We start from the raw sequence: 27,377 nt of genomic DNA on the forward strand, positions 1-27,377 counted from the left end.
GCTCAGCGCCACCCCAGAGGCTGCAGGATGCCCAGCTCCAGGGCCCAGCTCCTGGATCTCAGGTTGAAGAGGGGCCAGGGGCGGCTCTGTCAAGCAGGCCGTGTGGCAGGGGGTCCCCCACTTTCCGCTCCAGGGAGCCCCGCCAGCCCGACAGCGCCTCAGTGGCAGGTGCCACCTGCAGGTGGTGCTGGGCGAAGCGCAGCCAGGGCAGTTTCCCGCCTGGCGTGTCTCCCCAGTCTGCTGAGTTGCGCATGTGCTGTTTCCTAAGGGTTCTGCTCAGCTGCCTAAAGGTTCTGCTCAGCTGCCTAACGGTTCTGCTCAGCTGCCTAATGGTTTTGCGCAGCCCTTTTCTCCCAGGAGAGGCTGGAGTGTCCAAAAGCTTGGCCCGACTGAGATTTCTACTGGTGTCAGGGCGGGTGCGGGGACTGAAGAAGGGCGAGGGCGAGCGGCGGGGACTGGGGAAGGGCGAGTAGCGGGAGGTGCGGGCGCTCTCTAGCAGGTGGCTGCAGCCATGGAGAGGCTCTCTGCCGCCGCTGTCAAGGGCCAGACGGGCCTGGAGTGCCCGAGCCCCTTCAGTCAGCTGGTCTACACCAACAATGACTCTTACGTGATTCACCACGGGGATCTCAGGAAGATCCACAAAGCTGCCTCCCGGGGCCAAGCCTGGAAGCTGGAGAGGATGATGAAGAAAACGACAATGGACCTGAACATAAGAGATGCGAAGAAGAGGTACCAGACAGTGCCTGAGCCGGGGCTGCAGGAGGAGGAGGCGGCTGTGGGAGGATCGCCCCTTCAGAGTGGGGGCTAGGGGTCCTAGGGACGAGGGGAGCAGGTGGAGGAGTGGTGGGCAGCGGGGTGGCCGTCCCGGGCCCCGAGGTCTTGGCCTTGTTCCCGAGCAGGCCCTCCAGGCCTTGACAGGGCGGAGGGCCCAGGCCACCTTAAAATCAACCCCAAACTTTAGTTAGCTGCTTTCTCCTTCACTCCCATTTCCTCTCACAGAGCACTGTGTAGAGAATTTTAAAGTGATTTAACTTACAAAATTAAGTACATACAGGGTTTTACTTTTAATGTACAGGTTTTAGAAGATAATGTTAGATACATTATGAAATGGTGCGTAATGAAATAATTCCCATAATACATTAGCTTCTTGGCTAAAAGTTTTTTGGATAAAGTCCAGTATCCATTTCAATATCAATGAATGCCTATGTAAATATGTTCTTTGCTGAGGGACCTTAGAAGGTAACTTTGAGGTGGGAAGATGGTTTGTGTTTTCGAATTTAAGAAGACTCATTTTTCTCAAGATGCAAGCTCTTTATCAGTTTTACATAAACCAAATAAAGTTATCAACGTTTTAACATTTTTAAAATTACACACACTGTCTTTTACTATTGTGATGACATTTAAAAAATTTTGTAACAGAGTAGAAAAGTCTTGCCCTTCTAGATTTCAAACTGTGCTATTAATTTGCACAAAATGCGCCACGGCCAGGCAAGGTGGATCATACCTGTAATCCCAGCACTTTGGGAGGCCGAGGTGGGTGGATCACGAAGTCAGGAGATCGAGACTATCCTGGCTAACACAGTCTCTACTAAAAATGCAAAAAATTAGCCGGGTGTGGTGGTGGGCGCCTGTAGTCCCAGCTCCTCGGGAGGCTGAGGCAGGAGAATGGTGTGAACCTGGGAGGCGGAGCTTGGAGTGACCCGAGATCGCACCACTGCACTCCAGCCTGGGTGACAGAGCAAGACTCTGTCTCAAAATAATCATAATAAATAAATAAATAAAATTTGAAAAAAAAAAAAAAAAGGGCCAGGCGTGGTGGCTCATGCCTGTAGTCCCAGCACTTCGGGCGGCCGAAGCGGGTGGATCACCTGAGGTCAGGAGTTCAAGACTAGCCTGGCCAATATGGTGAAACCCCGACTCTACGAAAATACAAAAATTAACCAGGCACGAGGTCGGGAGCCTGTAATCCCATCTACTCGGGAGACTGAGGTGGGAGAATCCCTTGAAACTGGGAGGTGGAGGTTGCAGTGAGCTGAGATCCCATCACTGCATTCCAGCCTGGGCGACAGAGTGAGACTCTGTTTCAAAAATAAATAAACAAATCACAAATTCTTTGATAACAGCTGAAAAGACAGGTAAATGAATACACAGAATAGAAAATCCAGAAACACCCAAATATCTAAGAATTTAGAACTTTATACTAGTAGGGAAAGAATTAGTTTCATAAGCGAAATGCCTGCTTTTTGGAGAAAACTAGATTTTTATACCACAAAGTAAATTTCTGACGGAATATAGATTAAATTTTTTAATATACAAAATGATAAAAGCACCAGAAGAAAACATAAATGCCTATTTACACAGGTACATTTTTATGTTGACAACACCTCTCTAAGAAGCTCAGAAGCAAGCAGTCTGAAGGATAATTAAGCAAAGCAAAATTAAATTAACCTATAATGAGAAAAAATAAAAGGCAGCATACTTGTAAAATGTTTACTACACATGTATGTGTTTCTGTGTATACATATTAGATTTAAAAATCGTCATTTTATAGATAATTCACTTAAATCAACAAAAAATCCTCTAATTTAAAATTGAGCAATTTAAATTAGAGATCTAAATTGCAGATCTAAAAATAGTACTTTGCTTCTAATTTAAAATTGGGCAAAGTATTTTCTTAAGATCTGTAAGTGACCTATGCACACAGAAAACAATATTTAGTGTTCCTGGTTAGAGAAGGTATTTAAATTAAAAGAGGAATCAAATACTGTTTTCTATCTACAAAGTTTGTGAGGATGAAGAGCAGTGATATTTATACTGCTGTTTAAAGTTTAAGTTGCAGATAACTTTTCAAATAGACAATTTGGTGGTAAGTACCATATTATTAAGAAGAATCCATATAATGGCTTTTATAAATACATTTCAGTGAATTTACAGCATGGGATAATATGTGACCACTGAAGGTAGAAATATGTAGAGAAGTAGGTGACATTTGAAAGTGTATTTTGGTGTATCAAGTGAGGGTAAAGTTCAGTTTGATTATACATACACACAGACTACAGTCTTGTGTTATCTGAAATTGTGTATGAAATACGATAAAATTTGTTATTTGAGGGCATTTGTTTTAATTTAAATGTTTTTCCTTTTTATCATCTTTGATTTCCTCATTGAGCATGTACAATGCTATTAGAAAAAGTTTATTATTAATGGAATAATTTTTAGGAAGAGCAGGAATATAATTTTGCACCAATAAAAATAATTTCTCTCTTCCCATATTTTAGTTATTATTTTTTGTGGATTAGTATATTATGTGAACTTTTAGCATCTTCAAAAGACAATCTTTTTACCTGTGCTTGTTGATTTACATATACATCTTATTAGGCACATATTTTTATTATATATAGATTTATTACATATATGTCAATAATTATAGATTAATTAGTGTAGTTTTATTATTAAGAAAATAAAATAGAAAATATAAGTGATTTATAGCAGTTTTTTTAAGGTATTGAACTTCTCAACTGTATTTATCCTTTTAATCAATTTATCACATGTAAGCTGAATGCCTATTATGTAGAAGATACATTAACTCTCAAGATCCTTTCATCCTTAAAAATTTCACATTTACCTGCTCGGCCTTAGCAAAGTGAGAGGTTTAAAGTTGGAGTATTAGGACTGAATCTCAATTGAAGCTTTTCCTCTCATCTTTAAAACAAAAACTCTTCTGAAGTGAGAAACTAGTAAAAGATAACTACCAACCACGATTTTGGAAATTTATAACAGCTTTAAATAGTAATATTAATCATTAGAAATACCTAATTTACATGCAGTCTATAAATTTAAATATGAATTTACATACATTCTGTAAATCTAAATATGGAATAAAATGAGCCATACCTACTTGAATCCCAAGTTTTCTTTGGCTTGAAGTTTTAAAAATATTAAAGAAGTACTTTGTTATAACAGTTTGTTTTTATTTCAACTCTCCTTTTGTGTAGCACTCTTAAAAGCTAAAATTTCTTTAAGTGTTAATCCTATGATTAGGACTGCCATCATCCTGTTGTATATACCGTATTCCACTTCATGGAAGGCATCATGAGTTGTGTGATGCCTCCTTATTTATGTACCAATAAAAGATTGTTTAAATTTCTGCAAAATATACTTGTAATAAATAATGACTTATAAGTGGCATTTCAATGTCAGAGATGTTAAAATATGAGAAATAGAGTATCTTAGAATTATTAAAATACAGTTTTATCTCTAACCTTTAAAACATACCACAAAGTAGGCATAACTGTACCATTTAACTTAAAATGTTTTCTTTGTTAAGTAGTAGAAATAATTACAATATCTAACAATTACTGAGCTGTTACATGTGCTAGGAATTCTTTGAAATATATTGCACAGATTCTCATGAGGCATCACAGTGATGTCCTGTGAGAAAACTGCTGTATTCATCTTCACTTTATTGATGAGAAACTTGAGGCACAGAAAGGTTAGGTGATAGCTAGAAGGTGAAAGACTTTAAAGTAATATTCAAGCCCAAGTGAACTGAATCCAAAGGCCAAGCTCTTTCTATTCAAATAGGCCACTCTTTCACTAATGTAGTGAGTAATAAGAGTGAATGAATGTTGTTCTTTCTTCAGGAGAATATTAAATATTTGTTTTGAAGGCAGAGAAAGAGCATGGTATTTAATGTTGACAATTACATAAATCATTATATGCTTTGAGACAGTGGACTAAACTTTCCTAAAAAGTCCTCTCACTTTCGTAGGACTGCTCTACACTGGGCCTGCGCCAATGGCCGTGCAGAAGTAGTAACACTTCTGGTAGATAGAAAGTGCCAGCTTGACATCCTTGATGGCGAAAACAGGACAACTCTGATGAAGGTAAATGGTAGCCAGTTCTTTCAGCAGGAGATGGATTTGGTTTAAATACATAGAATAAAAATGAATGTATCTCATTGAAATATAGCTAGTTTGTGAAACCTGTGGAATATTTATTTATATTTCCTATAATTTATAATTTACTTCTTGCTTTAATACTGACAGGCTGTGCAATGCCAGAGGGAGGTTTGTGCAAATATTCTCATAGATTCTGGTGCTGATCCAAATATTGTAGATGTGTATGGCAACACAGCTGTTCATTATGCTCTTATAAGGTGAGAATTTGTCAGTGGTGGCAAAATTGCTGTCCTGTGGTGCAGACATCGAAGTGAAGAACAAGGTAGACGTTAACCAATGTTATTTTCAAAATATTTGAAATCCATTTGTTTTAACATTAACATATGTAAATTGTTTTATATTTGGAAGCTCAAACATTCTTATTTTCCTATGAAAATAGTTTGACCAAACTTAATTGTCTAGGATTTTGCTTTAAATATTAATATTTTTACAAGAACTATTAGTATGGTTTTTCTGTGCATTATGATAAATATTTGAGTTTGTTAAAGGTAAAATTTTTCAAATATTCTTTCCCACCCAAGTTTTTTTTTTCTTTCCAATTAGTATAAAACTACAGGAAAGTAAAATTTAGGAGACATGAAGAAATCTGGATTTCCTCTTAAAGGATTGAATCTGGTGTTTCTTGAGCCCATATGACTGTTTGGTATGCTATGAAGACATTCTAGCTTTACATAAAACATATGTTTCCAGTTTGCTACTGTGCCCACCTAGTTACATCACTTATTCAACTTACCTCTTTTGCCTCTGTAAATATTTCAGTTATCAATTCTTCTCTTGTAGTATATTTTGGTAAAGATTTCAAGTTATTGAAGACAGTTTATAGGTGTTTATAATATATAGTTTATATTTTACATTAATTCATTAATAATGGGGTTGTCTTCTAGAATTTAGAATATTTTTTAAATGATGATTTTTCTTCATATAAACCATAAATAATCATCTTCTATTAGAAGGCCTTTAAGCCTTTTTAGATTAATCATGTTTATATTTGAATGGGTTATGCAAATTGCAGAAAATATTATATCTTTCTCCACAGACTTGTCCCTTAAAATTCAAGTGATTTAGCGACTTCTATTTTGCTAATCCATATACGTGAGTTAGAACTTTCATTAATAAGCCATTTTATTCATACTTCTGATATTTTGCCAAAAAATAGTATCAATTACAATAGAAACCAGAATAAAAATGGATTATTGCATTTTAAGAAGTGGATATGCATTAGGATCCTAGGAGTATCATTATAATTGAGAATAAACTTTTATACTGAATTGCCTTTCTTTTTTTCTTTTTTTTTTTTTTTTTGAGACGGAGCCTCGCTCTGTCACCAGGCTGGAGTGCAGTGGTGTGATCTTGGCTTACTGAAACCTCTGCCTCCCTGGTTCAAGCGATTGTCCTGCCTCAGCCTCCTGAGTAGCTGGGACGCAGGCATGTGCCACCATGCCCAGCTAAATTTTTTGTATTTTTAGCAGAGATGGGGTTTCACCATGTTGACCAGGATGGTCTCGATCTCCTGACCTTTTGATCTGCCCACCTTGGCCTCCCAAAGTGCTGGGATTACAGGCATGAACCACCTTGCCTGGCCTTTTATACTGAATTTCTAATAACTGAGATAAAATCCTATTGTCTGGTAATAGGATAAACCTCATGGATGATTTAATAATAAGCAATCAAAGTTTATTTGAAGCCAATCTCTTTTAATTTAGAGCCACTTCCTTAGTGACCCATTTAGAGCAGGAGTGCCTGACATTGGCATCTGGAATCTTGGGATTATTGATAGAAGAGAATCAAGTAAGTTTGTATCACCCAGAGGAAACCTCCCTTTTTGGGGGGAAGCTTTCAAAACTGCATCCCTAAAATTCTAATTTGTCAAATGTTAATGTTTGCCACAAAAATATACTGTCAAATAAGGATTAGGTAAAGTTCAATTCATTTATTGAATAATGAACATTTAATTCACAGTTTTATAACTTTTCTTGAACATAGATAATGGTGGAATCTGTTGGGGTACAGTGCTTCTGGTAAGGTAATTATTCTTTGGAATATAGTTGAAGAAACATTGTTCCAGAGGTAATAATTTAGATTACTAATTTAATAAAAAACAAAGTATTTACTACTATGTCTTAGGGTTTAAGGATATAGAGGTAAAAGATACAGCCCTTGCCCTCAAGAAGCTCTTGGTTTAAATGGGAAACAATAAAATCATTACAATATAATGATTTTTGGAGATAACCAGAGTTAATGTGGTGACGCAGAGGCTGAATGTTTACAAGAGAAGGTGCAGTGCATGGGAAAGCACAGAAAAGTGAGAAAGAAGGGATTGCTATTGATTTACTTTCTATTGTTTATGTTCATAAGATATTATATAAGGTATTCAGTTCAGCTGAGAAATATGTAATTTCATGAATTATAAATTGTTTTTGCTGTTTTACAGACTGGCCACACACCGCTTTTACTGGTCATGAGGAAAAGAAGTGAGCAAATTGTGGAATTTTTACTGACAAAAAATGCAAATGCAAATGCAGTTGATAAGTTTAAATGGTATAGTAGTTTTTTTATTAAAAAACACTTGAGTAGTGTGCTAGAGTAATAACAATCAAGTCAGAAATATTAAATTAATAATATTTACTTAAAATTATTAGATTATACAGAAAAATACCAACACAAATTATCAGTTAGGAAGAAAAGCAATTATTTGGACTGGTCAACATAAAGAACAGTATATAATAGGATTTTCTTCTTTTATTGTATTGACTGATTCTTATTTGTAATCTGATGTTTTTGGTTGCATTATCTTCTATTAGCTAAAGTGGTTCTGTATTAGTTTTAAGAATTTTTAGTTTACTTTATAATTCAATATTGAATGATTAACACCTTTATAGTATTTTTCTAACTTCTGTTTTTCATGTGCTTTTAAAAAATGCAATATTTGCTGGGCATGGTAGCTGTCATCTGTTATCCCAGCACTTTGGGAGGCCAAGTGGGTAGATCAGCTGATGCCAGGAGTTTGAGACCAGCCTAGCCAACATGGTAAAACCCCATCTCTATGAAAAATATAAATATTAGCCAAGCATGGTGGCACATGCCTATAGTCCCAGCTACTCAGGACAATATTATTCCTAATATTGTTTTAAGTCTTCAGATTGCTCTCACTTGTCCGACTTCTAGCTAATTTTGAAGTACAAAATATTATATAAAACTAAGGAGAAAATAGATAATTCTTCACTTAAAACTTTGCCTCTTTTAGATTAGTGAACAGAACATATTTTCTTGCCCCTCAGTGGACTTTATGTTAGCCAATTCTACTATGGCATATCCCAGTGAGACATGAGTCTTTTTGCCCCTTCCTTTTAGCCTTGGTCGTGATTTACAAGGATAAACACTTGAGCACTCAAGATACTTAACGTTTGTTAATACATGTAAATGGTTAATTCTACACTGACAGGCACATATTAAATTGGTTCTGTTCCTAATAATGAAGTTATCTCTTTGTTATTTTAGCACAGCCCTCATGCTTGCCATGTGTCATGGATCATCAGAGATAGTTGGCATGGTTCTTCAGGAAAATGTTGACATCTGTGCTGAAGATACGTGTGGAATGATTGCAGAACGTTATGCTGTTGCTTGTGGATTTAATCCGTAAGTGTTTACATTTAAAGGCTAGGTGAGATTTTATAGTTTGTTTCAGGTAGTTTATGAATGACACTGAGTTAGTTCACTTCATCAGCCAGAAACCAGGCAAAAAGCTAGACTATTTAGAAGGAGTAATGGCTCCAGGATTCTTTATTTTAGGGCTTTAGGGACGCTAATGTTGTCTACTTGATTTGAAGTATGACCCCTATGCATGGGATAAACATAATGTCACGATTTTAGCTTTTCTAATTAGTTATTTGGGTCTCAAAATGTCCACTTTAAGCAGAAAACCTGATAGTGTCCCCAGGGGGCTGTCTTCCATACCTTCATTCTTGAATTTTTTAAAAGAATCTGACCCTAAGTCCAAGGAAGACATTCCTTCTGTGCAAGTCAGAAGGACTGGGAGGGGGTGGGGGAATGGCTATTCTCTTCATTTTGTTGTTTCCATTGATTCTGTTGCTGCATCTTTGCCATTGAAACTGCTCCTGCAGTCTGGTAATGATTGACCTTTGTGACCAGGATGCCCTTATTAACACAGATCCCTCAGTCTTCATGGTGTAGACTTTGAAGTTACTACATGTTTTTAAAGTTCATGTACATATTCTCAGCCATTGTTACCAAAGTATCAGCACCCCACTCTGGCAGCTAGAACTTTTAGCTTTAGCCACACAAATAGTGAGCAAATTGACCCTTCTCCTCACACTCAAAACCTGATGTGAAACCCACATCTTAACCTGGACATGGCCTAGACCTTCATGGTAACTTATCCTTTGAGTGACTTTTTCTATTTTCTCTACCCAATATTAGTTGTGGTAGTTTGAAACTGTAAGTCAGGTTGAAATATTGTTACAGGAAGAAATTAGAGATCCATTTTGTCTTTGTTAACAGATCTATATCCCTGGCCCTTTATATCCTGTGTAGCACCATTTTGTAGGTAGTGGAAGGTCTCACCTTATTCTGTAAAATCCCATGTCATCTTTCCCAAGTTGTAGTGGGTTCCAACTTGTGGTTGTCCCCTCAAGTGATTCTTTTTTCCTAAAAGTAAAAATCTCCCATGCTACTTACATCTCTACCTCGAGTTTTTAAAATATTTTCAAATGCTGCATCACCATGAAGCCATACAATAGACTTTATTAAATCTCAAGTAAGTTGGTTAGATTTAACAGAGCTAAGCCTCATCCATCACTGATCAGTCTTCACATATAAAAGTAAGGATTTGTGCTGGCTTCAGTGGTACATATAGTAAAATTGAAACAACGTTGAGAAGATCAGCATGGTCCCCACACAAGGATGACATAGAATCTGTAAAGTGTTGCATATTTCTTGCAGTCCCCAAAAGGACATTTTACTACTTTCTAACTAGCTCCAAGGAAATGGTGTGAGTCAAAGCAAAATGGGTGAAGCTCAGTATTGCAATTGTGATTTTCATACAAAAAATTATTTACGTAAGGTGATCTATGAAATGAGATGTGGTAACACATAGGATCTTGTGTGCAATATTTTGTTAGTAGGGATCTCAGAAATAAGAAAATACCAACTTGCATCTTCTTTGTGGAACTTACAGAAAATAAAGGTAGGGTTTTGTCTTCCACAGCAGCTGGAAATGAACATAGTGACTAAGCATCATTCTAACAAAGATTTGTTGGTTCAGAGTTTAAGGAGGTAGATAAAGAGTAGCAGTAGTCCAAGCCAGATGCTGACATCTATTATTTTCTGCCCTTGGTGTGACTGAGGAGCTCAGTAATAGAGTATAATTAGGTCATCTGATTTAATGATTTAATATATTTATAAATAAATTTCATTACAAAATATAAAATAGCTTAGATGCTCTGAATTACAAGCCACAAAGAACAGAAAATCTAATATCCAAAAGTAGGAATTAATAACAGAAAATTGCAATATTTGAATATTATAACCTATGAAGAAACACATTTGTGTTTTTTTCTTTGTAATTTAATTTTTGTAAAGACGTGGTCTCCCTATGTTGTCCACGCTGGTCTTGAACTTCTGGACTCAAGCAATCCTCCTGTCTCAGCATCCCAAAGTGCTTGCATCACAAGCATGAGCCACTGCACCAGGCCAATATATTGGGTTTTATTGGGAATTTTAAAATAGTTTCAGCAATAAGGTTGAAGAACAAATTATTTTTTTGCTTCACTTTTTATTTTAAGCATTTTAAAAATGTTATCTTGTTAAATCTTTATAATAACATAGTGAAATAAGGCCCTAAAATCCTCATTGTTAGAAGACATTGAGTCTAAGGAAGCAACTTGTTCAAGAAAAAATACCTGTTGGTAGCCATGCTAGGATTTATTCTGAGTTAAGGACATTTTCCATATGTCAAGCTACCTCTAGTTAATTTGCTGAGTTATACTGCCCTCACTTCATGAGTGTTTTATCTTACTTTCTTCTTTAATTAGAAGCTTAATAAGTTCATAGAGCTTACAAACTTAAAGTCTATGGAAAAAGTAATGTTCTGATGTTAGCTCTAATATTGTCTGAAATACTCTAAGAACTTAACAAATTTGGTAAATGTTTTTTATATCAATGTTAAAATAGTAATTTTATTTATTTCATTTTTATACATAGCATTGATCAACAACTTTTGGAATATAAACAAAAGATATCTAAAAATTCTCAAAATAGCAATCCAGGTAAGACCTCTGATAGTAAACTACACTTGGTGGTGCTACCATGAGATTATAGGAGTGTTGATCACAAAAGAGCTATTAAAAAAGCAACGTGTAAGTAGCATGTGTTTACATATATACCTATACGTAAGTGTTTTTATATATACAGAGCTTTGATTTAATTTTTTAGTTTATAATTCAGAATTCATTAAGAATTTAGTTGTAGGTGGTTTATAATCTCAAAAATATTATCTGAAAAAATATTTGTTTAATTGTGGTCCCTAATATCCTATATAATACTTTTGTATAAATAAGTAAAACAATTTTTAAGTTTATATATTGTATGTTTCCTTAACTGTCATAACAATTTATGCTTGTTATAAAATGTATAATCCTTGGTGTGATTGATGAGTTCAGTAATAGGGGTTTATCAGCTTATCCAATTTAATGAACTAATATATTTATAAATAAACTTCATTACAAATTATAAACTAGCTTAGATGCCTTGAATTACAAGCCACAAATAACAGTACATCTAATAATGAAAAGTAGGAATTAATAAGAGAAAACTGCAACATTTGAATATTATAACCTATAAAGGAACACAGTTAAACTGTTAAATAAACAAGTATTTATGTTTGTTTATTAAACATAAACAAACATATAAAGTGTTTATTTGTTAAATAAAAAAATAAATTATTTGTTTGTTTCTTTATTGTAGAGACATGGTCTCCTTATGTTGCCCAGGCTGGTCTTGAACTTCTGGGCTTTATGTAATTTTTACAATAAATGATTTGCATTTAGAAAATTAGAATTAATTACAGTTGAGTCTTGAGCAACATGAGAGTTAGGGTGCTGATCCCCCCATGCAGCTGAAAATCTGCTTTATATGAAAATCTGTTTCTTTTGACTCCTCCAAAACTCTACTAATTCTTGACCTGGAGCCTGAAAAAAGGTGAAAGCATAAGCAGTCAATTAACCCATAGTTTCTATTTTATATGTACTATATATTGTATTCTTAGAATAAAGTGAGTTGGAGAAAAGAAACTGTTATAAAGAGGAAGAAATATATTCACTATTTATTAGATGGAAGTGAATTGTTATACATAAAGGACTTCATTCTCATTGCCTTCATATTGAGTAGGCTGATAAGGCGGAGGCAGAGGAGAGATTTGTCTTGGTATCTTGCAGTGGCAAAGGAAAAGAAAAATCTGTCTATTAGTGGGCTCCTAGAGTGAAAACCCTTATTCAAAGATCAACTGTGTGGCATAGTGACTTGTGTCACTAAATATCTTTAGAATTTGGAACTCAATAATACTTTTCTTGCACCATAAATGAATGTCAATAAGAATTAACATAACTTAGCGAGGGTGCATCAGTACCAATAGGAGATTATTTTTCAAAGATACCTAATGAGTGCAGAAGTCAGAAAAGCAATTATTTGTTCAGAAGCACAGGTTATGTTACATAGTCTTGTACCAACAATTTCTCACTATTACCAACTTCATTCCCTCTAAGTTGAAACCAAATAAGATATATTTACTTCATTAGAACAAGATGTGTTGTTCTATCTGCTGGATAATTAGTGTGTTAATAGTAATTTTGTTACAACAAGTTACTCTCGTCCTACTAGCCAAAATATTATCATTATAAATATTCAACTAGCTCAACTCTAGGCTCAACAAATAATAATAAAAGTGGAAAAAATTTTCACAATAACAAAAGTGCTACTGTGATACCTAAATGTGACACAATACATTGTACAATATGAACTATATGAACACATCTTTAATTTATTACATATTTATCAAAGGACTTCTATAAGTTAGATTTTGCAAGTTGCAGGAGACCAAGATGGAATACACATAGTCTGGGTCTTTAAGGTGCTCATAATACATTAGAGCTGTCTCTATTGAATTTCTGCATTTTTCCAACAGAACTTCCTAACTATGTTTTTTATTTGTTTATCCACTTGTCCACTTAACAAATAACTGTCAGGTATCTTTAAGGTACTAAGCATCTTTCTTGTTATTATCATTGTCATTTTTTATTATTTACTACTTTATTAAGGTACTAAGAATTTTTCTTGTTATTATCGACTTTTTTTATTATTTACTACTTTATTTAGTGCTTACTCTGTGCCAGAACCCCTTCGGGAGCTTACAATTATCACTTATTATGTCATTACCATATTCAGTATGTGTCAGACATTTTATATCCAAAGTGAAGAATTAAAGCTTTAAAAAGTTTGGTAGTGTCCAGGAGCGGTGGCTCACTCCTGTAATCCTAGCACTTTGGAAGGCCAAGGTGGGTGGATTGCTTGAGCTCAGGAGTTTGGGACCACCCTGACTAACATGGTGAAATCCCATCTCTACTAAATACAAAAAATTAGCTGGGCCTGGGTGGCATGCATATGTAATCCCAGCTACATGGGAGGCTGAGGTAGAGAATTTCATGAACCCAGGAGGCGGAGGTTGCAGTGATCTGCTGAGATCGTGCCACTGCACTCTAGCCTGGGTGACAGAGCGAGGCTGTTGTCTCAAAAAAAAAAAAAAAAAAAGGAGAAAACAAAAGTTTGGTAGTATTTAAGGAAAGCAAGCTGAATGAGTAGAAGTTTTCCATGTAAAGAGTCAGAAGGATGATATTTAGCAGAAGGAAAATTTAACCTGACTGTGTGTTTGGCAGAAGGAACATGTGAAGGAACACCTGATGAGGCTGCACCCTTGGCGGAAAGAACACCTGACATGGCTGAAAGCTTGGTGGAAAGAACACCTGATGAACAGCATACAGTGAGTTCCTCTTCAGAGATTTTAGCCTGTAAAAATCCTTTAAAATTCAAGAGGGGGAAGATTAAGTACAACGAGTTCTGAGTTCCTCATCAAAGAGCAAATATGTCAGTATGTTCAGATTCTCTGTTCTTTGTTCTCCGTTTTAAAGTTTAACTTCCTCGTTCGTTATGCCTCCTTGCCCCTAGTTTCATTAAACAACCCCCTTCTAGCCTCTAACACCTGTTTTGTCTTTAGTCATTCTTAGTCACCTGCTCTGTCCTTAGTCATCCTTAGACACCTGCTCTGTAACTGTCTTTCCAGCTGAAACTACTCACCCTGCCACTCCAGCTCATACCCCTGCTCTCTTTGAAGTAGCCCATCTGAATTAGCTAAGAGTGTGCAGTCCAACCCTATCCAATAGGGAAAAGACACAACAGTAGGGACTAGCTGCGTTAGGAATAAGAACACTTTCCCTTCCCTTGTCCGGTGTGATCTTGCCATTGCTCCATCTGCAAGACCACTATTTCATAGAAGTAAATTTGCCTTGCTGTAAAAACTTGTTGCTGGAGTGCTGACTGTTCTTTGCGGCACTGAAAATTTATTTTCCACAAATTTGGGGGCCCACCCAGCATTCCCATTCTCCTCTGGGGGAGGGTCCAGTCCTCTCCCGTGAGGAGGCGCACCCCGCTGCCTCGTTGCAGTGGCCATAAAGGTAAGGAATCAAGACTCAACTGGTGCGATTAATAAACCTGGGCTCTCAGCAACGTGGAAAGAAACAGGCCAGCATCTTTGGGGAAAGGATCTTTACATGCCGTGGCGACCAGGTAACTGTGCACAGACCGAGGTAAGAAATGTCGCAAGGGTGACAAAGTATTTCCTTGGTGGTCGGGATATTCTGGAGGTTGAAAGTGTGTGTGAATGATCACAAGCACTACTGCTTGTGGTGCTGTTTGTGTTGATGATACTAAGCATTATTGCTGTGAGGAGTGAGTGGGTTCTACCTGCAGTTTTTTATTTGAATAAAAAACCTTTGAAGAGGAATTCAGTGTATCCTCATAGGGCTCAGGGCAGATCCTGCTGTGGGGTTTATACCATGATGCCAATGCTAAGAGGGACCTAAAATTCCTGGGAGGGAAGCAACCAGAGTGGATGAAGTGAAAGAAGGGTGCAAGGAGCCTCCAGCAGGTGGCGTTAAAGGATAGGGAAGAAATCTCTAGCATGTGGGATTGAGCCTAACCAGGACCTAACATGGGAAAAGCCCCAAGTAAGACAGGGCGCAAAAAAGAAGAGGATAGTAACAAATACATGTCCCCTGATAGTCCTCTGGGTCTCATGTTAAAATATTGGAAGGATAATGAGAGGACTAAACATAAGAAAAAGCATTAGAGGATAAAATATTGCTGTTTCATTTGGACCCAAGGTCCCATTTTCAAACCCTCAATCTTCTGGCCAAAGTTTGGGTCGAATGAGGATGTCATGTGTCAACTTCTAATTCAATATGTTAATGATAAAAATCTGGTCTCTCAAGAAGAACTAGATTATGTTCTTTGTTTGAGACAGGGACCTGTCTTTATTCCCTTAAAGACAACTAGGGAAGAACCCGATCCAGCATCTCAAATTGAAAAGTCAGATGAGCGGACTCCCACACCTAAAGCCAGCACATGGGATCCCCTATACCATTTTGCCCTGCTCAGTGCCTCTGACCCTTCCCCTCGGGCAGCTGCTGCCACCCCAGATCCCACCCCAGATCCTTCTCCTGCTCAAGCTGTTCCTCCTCCTTACAACTCTAATTCTTGGGAGTTATCATCCCATGAGCCTGTCCCCTGTCAACCTAAATACCTCTCCCTAAAGGGGTTCCAGCATGAGGTACAGCAATGTAAAAAGGACATGCAGAACTTCCCTTTTCTCTCCACACCTAAGAAGTCAGCCCCAACTCTCTTCCCCTTAAAAGACATGCCAAAAGGAGGAGGAGCCATTGTATTTGTGAATGCTCCCTTAACCAGTTCAGAAGCCTGAAGTTTGAAAAAGGAAATTAAGCCACTGTTAGATGACCCTTATGAGGTGGCAAATCAGGTTGATCAATTCTTGGGACCTCAGTTATACACTTGGGTCGAGTTTATGTCCATCCTAGTCATCCTCTTTTCGGAGGAGGAAAGAAGCATGATCTGATCCGTAGGGCTGCTATGGCAGTTTGGGAATATGAACACCCTCCTTGTCAAAACGTTCCTACCACAGACCAAAAATTCCCTGCCCAAGATTCCCAGTGGGATAATAAAAACGCAGCTCACCAAGAAAACATGCAAGACATAAGGGAAATGATAATGAAAGAAACTAGGGAATCAGTACCCCAAAATCAAAATCTCTCTAAAGCATTTGATATACAATCCCCTGGGACAGGGAATGTTAAAGCTCCATTTTGTCACTAAAAGTTGTCCAGATATTTCTTTTTATTTTTTTTGAGATGGAGTCTCTCTCTGTCACCCAGGCTGGAGTGCAATGGTGCAATCTTGATTCACTGCAAGCTCCACCTCCCAGGTTCACTCCATTCTCCTGCCTTAGCCTCCTGAGTCGCTGGAACTACAGACGCCCACCACCACGCCCAGCAATTTTTTTGTATTTTTAGTAGAGACGGGGTTTCTCCATGTTAACCAGGATGGTCTCAATCTCCTGACCTCGTGATCCACCCACCTCGGCCTCTCAAAGTGCTGGGATTACAGGCATGAGCCGCTGCGCCTGGCCAACATTGTCCAGATATTTCAAAAAAGTTACAAAAATTAGAAGATTGGGAAAACTGACCTCAAGTGAACTTCTGAGAGAGACTCAAAACGTATCTGTAAAGAGAGACGAAGAAAAGCAAAAACAAAAGACAAAACTTAAGTTATTCACCTTCCAACAGATGGCTCCAAACCCATGTACCCCTAAACAAAGCTTCCAGTGGGCCAGAAACTATAAAGGTTCCAAACCCTCCTTTAAAGGACCCAAGCCTCCATTGGGAGGATCAAGGCTCTCGTCTACCAGGCCATCTAAATAGCATGGGGGAGTAAAATCAAAGAATCCCAGAACTGAGAGTGGGGAAGGGCAAGGTAGGCACTACAAATGTGGAAGAACAGGCCACTTCAAGAGAGAATGTCCCAAATTAGAAAATGAAAAAGAAGTCCTTCCACTCATGGCTTTTGAGGAAGAATAGTGGGGTCAGGGGTTCTGTCTCTTTTATCTTGAGTCCCACCAGGAGCCCTTGATAAGTCTAGAAGTGGGACCTAAGCATGAGTTTATAACCTTTTTAGTCAATTCAGGAGTGGCTCGATCCTCTGTTTGTTTCCCCCCCATCTAATATTGCCTACTCTTCAGAGGAACTTTTGGTTTGTGGGGTAAAGGGAGAAGGATTTAAAGCAAAAATTTTAGAAAACACAGAAGTCAGATACCAGGCTCAATCAGCTCATATTCAGTTTTTGTTAATCCCTGAAGCAGGGACTAATTTACTAGGGAGGGATTTAATGTTGAAGTTAGGCATAGGCCTGCAACTCAGCCCAAGAGGATTCCTCACTTCATTAAAGCTACTCACCACTGCAGATGAAAAATATATTAATCCTAATGTCTGATCCAAAGAAGGAAACTGAGGGAAACTCTGAGTCCCTCCAACCACATCAGGCTAAAAATCCCCAGGGAAGTAGTAAGGAAGAAACCATACCCCATTCCCCTAGAGGGCAGGATAGGGTTGAAACCTATAATTGAAGGTCTTATTAAAGATGGGCTTCTTGAGCCCTCTATGTCCCCTTATAACACCTCAATATTGCCAGTCAAGAAATCAGATGGGCCATACCGGCTGGTACAGGACCTTAGAGCTATTAACCGAATAGTCCAAACTACCCACCCCATTGTCCTCGATCCTTACACCATTCTCAGCAAGATTCCATATAATAATCAATGGTTTACTGTAATAGATTTCAAGGATGCTTTTTGGGCATGTCTCCTGGCTGAAGATAAGCAAGATATATTTACTTTTGAGTGGGAGGATCCCCATTCAGGGTAGAAACAACAATATCAATGGATAGTCTTACCCCAAGGGTTCACAGACTCCCCTAACCTTTTCAGTCAAATTTTAGAACAAGTATTAGAAAAAGTTATCATCCCAAACAAATATGCCTGCTCCAATATGTTGATGATATTCTTATATCTGGTGAAGATATAGAGAAGGTAGCTGGCTTCTCTACACATATTCTCAACCATCTGCAGTTCGAGGGGTTATGAGTCTCAAAGGGAAAGCTTCAGTATGTAGAACCTGAAATTAAATATTTAGACCAGTTGATAAGTGCAGAGAAGTGAAGAATAGGGCCTGAACGAGTTGAGGGAATCGTGTCCCTACCCTTGCCTCAAACTTAAACAAGAACTCAGGAAATTTTTAGGGTTAGTTGGATACTGCTGCTTATGGATTAACTCATATGCACTAAACAGTAAACTTCTATATCCAAAATTTGCCAAGGGGAAGACTGACCATTTCCTGTGGACGTCTGAGGAAGTCGATCAGGTTGAAGAGCAGATAAAAAGGCTTATAACAGCCTGTCTTAGCCTTACCTTCCCTAGGAAAGCCATTCCACCTTTTTGTCAACACGGATAATGGGGTAGCTTTAGGAGTGTCCACTTAAGAACATGGAGGTCATCGGCAGCCCATGGTGGCCTTCCTGTAAAAAGTCTTAGATCCAGTTACTTGTGGGTAGCCTCAATGCAGCCAATCCATTGTGGCTACAGCACTAATGGCCAAAGAAAGCAGGAAGTTAACCTTTGGAGGAAAATTGACAGTAAGAAAGCCCCATCAAGTTAGAACTATCTTAAACCAGAAAGCAGGGAGGTGGCTTACTGATTCAAGAGTCTTAAAGTATGGGACTATTCTGTTAGAAAAAGATGATTTAACATTAATCACTGATAATTCCTTTAACCCAGCAGTTTTTCTAATAGGGGATCCAAATCTAAAGAGATAGCACTCATGTTTAGACTTAACTGATTACCATACAAAGGTCTGACCAGACCTAGGAGAAACTCCCTTCAGGATGGGATGACACTTATTTATAGATGGTTCCTCCCAGGTGATTGAGGCAAAAAGATGCAATGGGTATTCAGTAATTGATGGAGAAACTCTTGAAGAAATTGAGGCAGGAAAATTGTCTAAGAATTGGACTGCCCAAACGTGTGAGCTATTTGCACTCAGCCAAGCCTTAAAGGACTTGCAGAACCAGGAAGGAGCCATCTATACCAATTCTAAGTACGTCTTTGGAGTGGCTCATACATTCGGAAAAATTTGGACTGAACGAGGTCTCATTAATAGTAAACGTCAAGATCTTGTTCATAAGGAGCTATTCACCCAAGGATTGAATAACCTTCAGTTGCCAGAAGAAAGAGTGACTGTCCATGTCCCCAGACACCAGAAAAGTCTTCCTTTTGACAGTCTAGGAAATAACCTAGCAGATTACATAGGAAAACAGGCTGCCATTTCTTTTAAAACATCTATTTTTCACTGAACTCTTTACCTTTTTCCTCCTAACATAATCTCCATTTTCTCTTCCACTGAAAAGAGAAACTAATAAAAATAGGTGCTAAGGAGAATTCAAAAGAAAAATGGATATTGCCAGACCAGAGGGAAAGGTTGTCCAAACCCCTTATGAGGGAAAACTTGTCCCAACTGCATCAAGGGACCCACTGGGGGCCCCAAGCCATGTGTGACACAGTTCTGAAAGTTTTTCGGTGTATAGGAATTTATACTCTGGCCAAACAGGTTACAGACAGTTGCTTAGTATGTAAGAAAACTAATAAACAAACTATAAAAAGATTACCCCTTGGGAGAAGGAGTCCAGACTTAAAGTATGCAGTTTGATTACACAGAGATGCCTCCAATAGGTCGTCTAAAATATTTACTAGTGACAGTAGATCACCTTACCCACTGGGTCAAAGCTATTCCCTTTTCAAATGTGATGGCCAATAATGTAGTTAAGGCCTTAATTGAAAATATAGTGCCCAGGTTTAGGCTAATAGAAAACATTGACTCAGAAAATGGAACCCATTTTGCCTCAAACTATTACATTTGATGCTTGCCTTGTTATACCTTGTGGAGCCTTGTCAGGCCACAGACAGCTCTCCACTTCCGAAAAGTACCTCTGTACTTCCTGGCTGTCCTCAGACTGGACATTAGTGAATTTGGATCATTTAGTCTGGGAAAGTTTCAATGAAGACCCCAGTGTCAACTGGGAGTCTTGCCCCCTTGACACAGAGCTTTTATGACTAGTTGGTCCAACTACGTGCAAGTGAGAGCAAGGATGGACTGCCCCAACCAGTAGTTGTAATTCCTAAAACCATACATTTATTTTACTAAAGATATAGCTCCCCTTAACTTTCAGGTAAACTAGTGCAACTCAATACAAGTTATTATTTCAAACCTACAAAGTTCTTCCCCTTCTCTAAGCCAATTCCCTTCTTTAAGCTGGTTTTATGTTATGGGGGCTGAGTTTTCAGAAACAGACCCTATTGGATCTTTGAAATATGCTTCATTGCTCCCCTACTGCCTACAGCTTCCCCTAAGTCTTCTTCCAAAAACTCTCACAATGAAACTGTTGTTCCTCCTCCATCTAATGACAAGATCAAAGTAGCTATTGTAGAAGTTAAAGACCTAAAACAATCTTTGGCAACTGAGACAGGATATCAAGATGCGAATGCCTGGTTGGAATGGATCAAATACTCCATTCGTGCTTTAAACAAAAGCAATTGTTATGCTTGTGTACACGGCAGACCAGAGGCCCAGATTGTCCCCTTTCCACTAGGATGGTCCTTCAGTCGACCAGGCATAGGCTGTATGGTAGCTCTTTTCCAGGGTTCCACAGCCTGGTGTAACAAGTCATGTCAATCTCTCTCTCTGCTATATCCCAAAGTTCAACACCCTGCAGGTCAGCCCCCAAGGGCCATCTAGCTTCCGTCTCCTGACACTAAGTTCACTTCATGTCTCTCACAATAAGGAGGAAACTTAGCTTTGCTTGGAGACCTAAAAGGATGCAGTAAGCTTAAGACTTTCCAAGAGCTTACCAATCAGTCAGCCCTTATACAATCCTGAGAAGATTTATGGTGGTATTGTGGTGGACCTTTACAGGACACTCTGCTAAGTAACTGGAGCAGCGCTCGTGCTGTAGTCCAGTTGGCTATACATTTCACTCTGGCATTTCATCAACCAGAAAAAGGGAAAACACAACATCGTAAAGCAAGGGAAGTCCTTTATGGGTCTTTTGACTCCCACATTTATTTAGATGCTATTGGAATCCCATGAGGAGTATGAGATACATTTAAGCCCAAGATCAAATAGCTACCGGATTTGAATTGATATTTTGGTGGGTGACAATAAAAATGTAGATTGGATAAATTACATCTATAATAATCAACAGTGGTTTATTAATTACACCAGGGATGTTGTCAAAGGAATAGCAGAACAATTGAGGCCCACTAGCCAGATGGCCTGGGAAAACAGAATGGCCCTAGATATGATATTAGCTGAAAAAGTGGTGTTTGTGTTATGAATAAAACTCAGTGTTGTACCTTTATCCATTGGGAGCAAACAACACTGCCCCCAGTGAGAGCATAACAAGGGCCCTACAAGGATTTACCACTTTATCCAAAAAATTAGCTAAAAATTCTGGAGTCAATAACCCTTTCTCAACGTGGCTAGAAAGGTGGTTCAGTAAATGGAAAGAAATCATAGCCTCAATTCTTACTTCTTTTACAGCAGTAATGGGTGTACTCATTCTTGTTGGGTGTTGTGTCATACCATGCATCCATGGGCAGTGCAAAGGCTTATATAAACAACACTTTCTAAAACCTCCCTTAGCTGTCCTCCACCTTATTCAGATAGGCTTTTCCTTTTAGAGGATCAAGTTGAAAAAAAAAAAGCCAAGACATGCTAAAAAGGTTTGAAGAGGAAGGGCTATAAAAATTGAAAGAGGCAATTGTAGAATACAGTGAATTACTCTTCAAAGGTTTTAGCCTGTTAACGTCCTTTAAAATTCAAGAGAGGGAAGATTGTTAAGTACACTGAGTTCTCAGTTCCTCTTCAAAGAGCCAATAAGTCAGTATGTTCAGCTTCTCTGTTCTTTGTTCTCCATTTAAAGTTTAACTTCCTCATTCTTTATGCCTCCTTGCCCCTAGTTTCAGTAAACGACCCCCTCCTAGTCCCTATCACCTACTCTGTCCTTAGTCATTCTTAGTCACTTGCTCTGTCCTTAGTCATCCTTAGTCACCTGCTCTGTAACCATCCTTCCTGAGGAAACTACCCACCCTGCCACTCTGGCTTGCACCCCTGTCCTCTTTGAAGTAGCCAGTCAAAATTAGCTTAGAGTGTGTGATCCAACCCTATCCAATAGGGGAAAGATACAGCAGTAGGGACTATCTGCATTAGGAATAAAAACCCTTTCCCCTCCCTTATCCAGTGTGCTCTTGCCATTGCTCCATCCGCAAGACTCACCCTTCTATAGAAGTAAATTTGCCTTGCTGGAGTGTTAACTTGTTGCTGGAGTGGTAACTCTTCTTTGTGGCACCAAAAAGTTATTTCCAACACGAAGCTGCACCCTTGGTGGAGGGAACATCTGACGAAGTTCAATGTTTGGGGAAAACAATATCTGGAAAGACTGAACAGTCAGCAAGAGAAACACCTAGGAAAATTACAAGGCCTGTGAAAGAAACGTCTGAGAAATTTGCATGGCCACAAGAAAGACCTACAAAGACCACATGGGAGGAAAAAGAAACATCTGTAAAGACTGAATGCGTGGCAGGAGTAACATCTAATAAAATTGAAGTTTTGGAAGAAGGAACAGCTAAGATGATCACATGTCCTACAAAGACAGCTACAAAAGCAAGTACAAATGGTCAGATGCTTGAGTGAACTTTGTAGAGTTTATTGGCACTTTGGGTTCCCTAGTGGAAATAGTGTGGTACAGGAGTAGTCAGGAATGGCTTGAATGTCTAGATAAGGCAAGCTTAGGCAACACATTTTAATAGTGTAGAAACGAGTAGATGTTATTCTGTAGGCCCTGGAAAAATTCCCAGAATACTTCTGGCTGTAAATATTAGATGAAAATAACTAACAATTGCTAAAACCATAGAAACCAAAGTTGTTTTGGTGGTACAGGGATATTATAAGTTCTCACTCCCCCTCCCCCATTATTAGTTATGCTATCAGCAGTGTTTTGTTCATGTCTCCTTTCTTGGTTGGGTAATTAGCAACAGCTCCAATCATCATGCTAACTCAAGACAATATCTGAAGTCTGGGAGTGCTGCTTTTGTTCACATTTTTTTTTTAAATAGGAAGAAAACTTGGAAGCTTGCAGTAATCTTCCTGTAACATTTTATTGGCTGGATTATACCACATGCTTATTTCTATACCAATCACTAGGAAAGCAAATGTTATTACTGTGATTAGCTTAGAATAATGATTTTTCTTTTAAGATTGGATGGGGGTAACGGAATAATAAATATCTAAATGAACTTGTGTTTCTGCAGCAATAAAGAATACATAATGACTATGCATAGGAAGCCAGCAATGTTTTCTGCAGGAACACAGTGGAAAAGTTTGAGCAGGGGAGTCACAAGATTAGATTTGAGTATCAGGGCATTCTGGTCATGGTATAAAGCAGAGATTGGCAAACTTTTCCTGTAAAGTGCCAGATAGCGAATATGTTGGGCCATGTGGTCTCTATTACAGCTATTCAACTCTGCCATTGTAGGGTGAAAGGAGTCATAGATAATGGATGGGCAAAGAGGCATGATTGTACTCCAATAAAAGTTTGTATAAAAAACCATTTAGTAAGCTGAATTTGGCCTGTGGCCTATAGTTTCTGGACCTTCATATAGAAGATAGATGGAGGATAATCACATAAAAAGATTTAAAGATGAAGCTTTTGTAGTAGTTCATGCAATAGTCTTTTTTTTTTTGTAACAAACCTGTGGCCTAGTATCAATCTATTATGAAAGTTTGATCCATCAAGTGTAAAATGAATCAAGTTCAGAAGCTCAATTTACACATTTAAACATGTAGGTCCTTCTTTGGCATTGTTTTATTTTGATTAACTTTTTTAACTTAAAAAATAAGAACAGTAATTTATAGGGTTTCTTTTTCCCTGTGAAAACCATCAGTTAAGGGGCCACGTTTAACTAGGAAATATGAATATAAAATAAATAAGTATGTATTTCCAGTGGCAATGGAAAGATAAAGCAAAGGCAGAAAAGAGGTGCAGTTAATATGGCTTAGTGATAATTGAGTTTAAAAAGCTAGGGGACAGATAAAATCTCAGGTCATTCATAAGTTTTCAGATTGTGCATAAGCATTTACAATGCTCATGGGGAAGGAGTAGGAATTTGTCAGGTTAACAGAGAAGTGCAAACAGTAATGGGACAGACCAACAGTTTTCTTTACATATTGAGTTCAATGAAACATTTATGTGGGATACTTTCAGTAGGCAATTGGATTATATACATTTCTAGCTGGAGATAGAACTCTGCTTGAAGATGCAGGCTTAGAATACTTTTATTATAATTATTAGGCAAAGCCATAGATCTCAATGAGCTTATCCATGAGGCAGAAGATGTAGAATAAAAAGAAAGCCATTGACACAACCCTGGGAATATCGACATTTCACAAGAGTCAAAGGACTTGGTAAAGGAGACTGAGCAGTGGTTAAAGAAACGTAGGAGAGGAGTCTGAGAAAGTGATGTTACAAATTTCTTTTAAATGTGAGAATTTCAAGCAGTAAACTTACTCAAAAATCTACTGGATTTAACTTACAAGTTCTTCAGTGGTAATCTGTTCAAAAGAATTATTTTAGAGTTGTTAGGTATACTTTTGATGTGGTTGATATTTCTGGTATCCAAGAAGAAATCTCCCAAGATCATACCTAACTTTTTGTAACTAAAGCAGCATACATACACAGGGAGTGGGAAAATGTCTAGACTGGTGAGTACACATGCCAACATTTTTCCAGAAATTTCTGCCTCCTTATTATACCACTTGAGTAAGGGGTTTAGAGATTTTAGACTATACTTGGGAATTTGTCTATTTCTTTTGCAGTTGTGTCAATTTTTCTATCATGTATTTTGAAGCATTTATGTTATTATGTACATAAATATTTAGGACTGTTATGTTTTCTTGATTAATTGAACCCTTTGTCACTATAAAATGACCTTGTATATTGCTGGTAATATTTTTGCTATGAAATGTACTTTGGTATTAATACAACCACTCTTCCTCAGCCTTCTTTTGTCAAGTGTTAGTGTGGTATATCTTGTTTCATCTTTTAACTAATTTTTGTCTTTATATTTAAAGTTTATTTCTTATATGCATTATACAGGTAAGACTTGCTTTTTTATCCATTCTGACAATCTGCCTTTGAGCAGAGGTTTTTAGACCAGTTTAATTTATAATGTAATTATTGATATGATTAGAGTTGTCTGTCATCACACTGTTTGATTTCTATTAGTCCCAGATCTTTGCTTTGCTTTTTTCCTTTTTCTGCTTCCTTCAGACTAGTTTAGTAATTTTTATGATTTAGTTATATATCTGTATATGCATAACTTTTTTAGTTATTAATCTAGTTTTACATTTCTTTATGATTTAGTCATATCTTTTTTGGTATAAGTTTATTTGGTATTAGGTATAACTCTTTGCTGTCTTAGTAGTTGCTTTGGGATTTATAGTGTATGAATTTACCTCATCACAATCCATCTTCAAGTAATATTATATCATATCATAGATGGTATAAGAAATTACAATCATATTTTCATTTCTTTTCTATCAGCCAGATCCCAGCCTAGATCTGTGGGATTATGGCTTTCATTAAGTTTAAAACATATTTAGCCAATTTTTTCTCAAATTTTTTATTCTGCCTCTCCTCCTACCTCTTTGCAGACTTATATATTACCTGCTGGAAGTTTGCTCTTAGTTCACTAGTGTCTCAAATTTGTGAATCTTTTATTTCATGATGGTGAATTAATCTATGCTCATATCTACTCAGTGCAGCTTTCATCTCCAGCATTGTAACTTGTATCTCTACAAGTGCAATTTGGTTTTTAAAAGTATCTTCTATTGCTTTACTTATCTTCTTGATTTTTATAGTAGAATAGAGTTGAGTTACTTATAAAGAGCTTGATCCTTTTCATTTTTCTTTTTATGGTATGAGCTAACTCCCCATACCTAAGGCAAGGCCTTTCTGAGCATTCATTTTCCTGTGAAGTCTGAGTTTTCCCAGGCAAATCTATAAAAATAGACGCTCTTTTTGGCACTGTGTGAGCACCAGGTGTGATTTCCTCTAATTTTATAGGCCACCCCCCACCCCCACCCCCACCCGGTTTGTTCTTAGGTAGTTTTCTAGCTCATATGCAATTTCCAAAATTTCGCTAAATACTGACAGGGAGTTTCTTGCCGTTGATTCTGTATCTCTCTCTCCTCCTCAGTGTTTGTTCTGTAATATCTGTCTGCTTTGGTTTTACCAGACTCTAAGCTTCATCAATGTAACCAAGAGAGTCTGGTAGATCCCACCTCAGTTTTTTCTTCCTGTGTCATGTCTCCGAATCTCTATCAAGGCAGGAAGCTGAAACATTCATAAGGTTTGCTTTCTTTCGTGTTTTTTTTTCTGTTTTTTAGGGATTATTATCTTCTTTGCCTAATGTCCAGTGTCTGAAAAATTATTTACTGTATTTTGTGTGTTTTGATTTTAGTTATTTTAGCTAAGAAGAAAAATCATACCTGTTGCTCTCCCTTGGCTAGAGGCAGACTACACTAGAGTTTCAGCACATGCCACAGACTGGCTAAAATGCTTTCCTTCCCTTTTGCTCAACTGCTTCCTTTTCATTCTTCATTCCTCAGTGTAGCTATACATTCCTCGGGGGAATTTTCCATGAGCCTAGTATAGATCTAATTCTTAGCAAACTGTTTTCTTACAGTATCTATCTGAATTTATAACTGTCACTTTTCTGGGGCTTCGTCTTTTAGCACATTTTAAGTTAAACAAAGGCAGAGGTTTTTGTTTTTTTCTGTTTAATCTGCAGAGCTTAGTATAATGCCTTCCACGAGGTAGGCAAACAATATATATTTGATCAGTGTATGAATTAGTGATTGTTAAAATATGCAGTTCTTTATATCCCAAAAGTACTTATATATTTTATTTCTATCTCCTCCTGGAGACAGATTCAACTAGCCTATCAAAATTCTTGGATGCAATTCTTTCTTGTGAAAGAGCAAGGGAAATTAAAAAATATCCCTGTGAGCCAGGCGCCGTGGCTCACGCCTGTAATCCCATCACTTTGGGAGGCCAAGGCGGGCAGATCATGAGATCAGGAGATCAAGACCATCCTTGCTAACACAGTGAAAC

The 27,377-nt window shown here is 37.8% G+C and overlaps 1 non-coding gene and 1 pseudogene across 1 annotated transcript; both read left to right on the plus strand.

Annotated features, from left to right (window-relative positions):
* Positions 1-511: 511 nt before the first annotated feature.
* Positions 512-25,384, plus strand: LOC100292922 (putative ankyrin repeat domain-containing protein 30B-like; annotated as a pseudogene).
* LOC124905169 (U6 spliceosomal RNA) lies at positions 9,810-9,915 on the plus strand. Its single transcript, XR_007068168.1, has one exon. It is a non-coding gene; the product is annotated as a U6 spliceosomal RNA (small nuclear RNA).
* Positions 25,385-27,377: the final 1,993 nt, after the last annotated feature.

Source organism: Homo sapiens, chromosome 22, assembly GCF_000001405.40.
Source record: "Homo sapiens chromosome 22, GRCh38.p14 Primary Assembly".
NCBI lineage: Eukaryota > Metazoa > Chordata > Mammalia > Primates > Hominidae > Homo > Homo sapiens.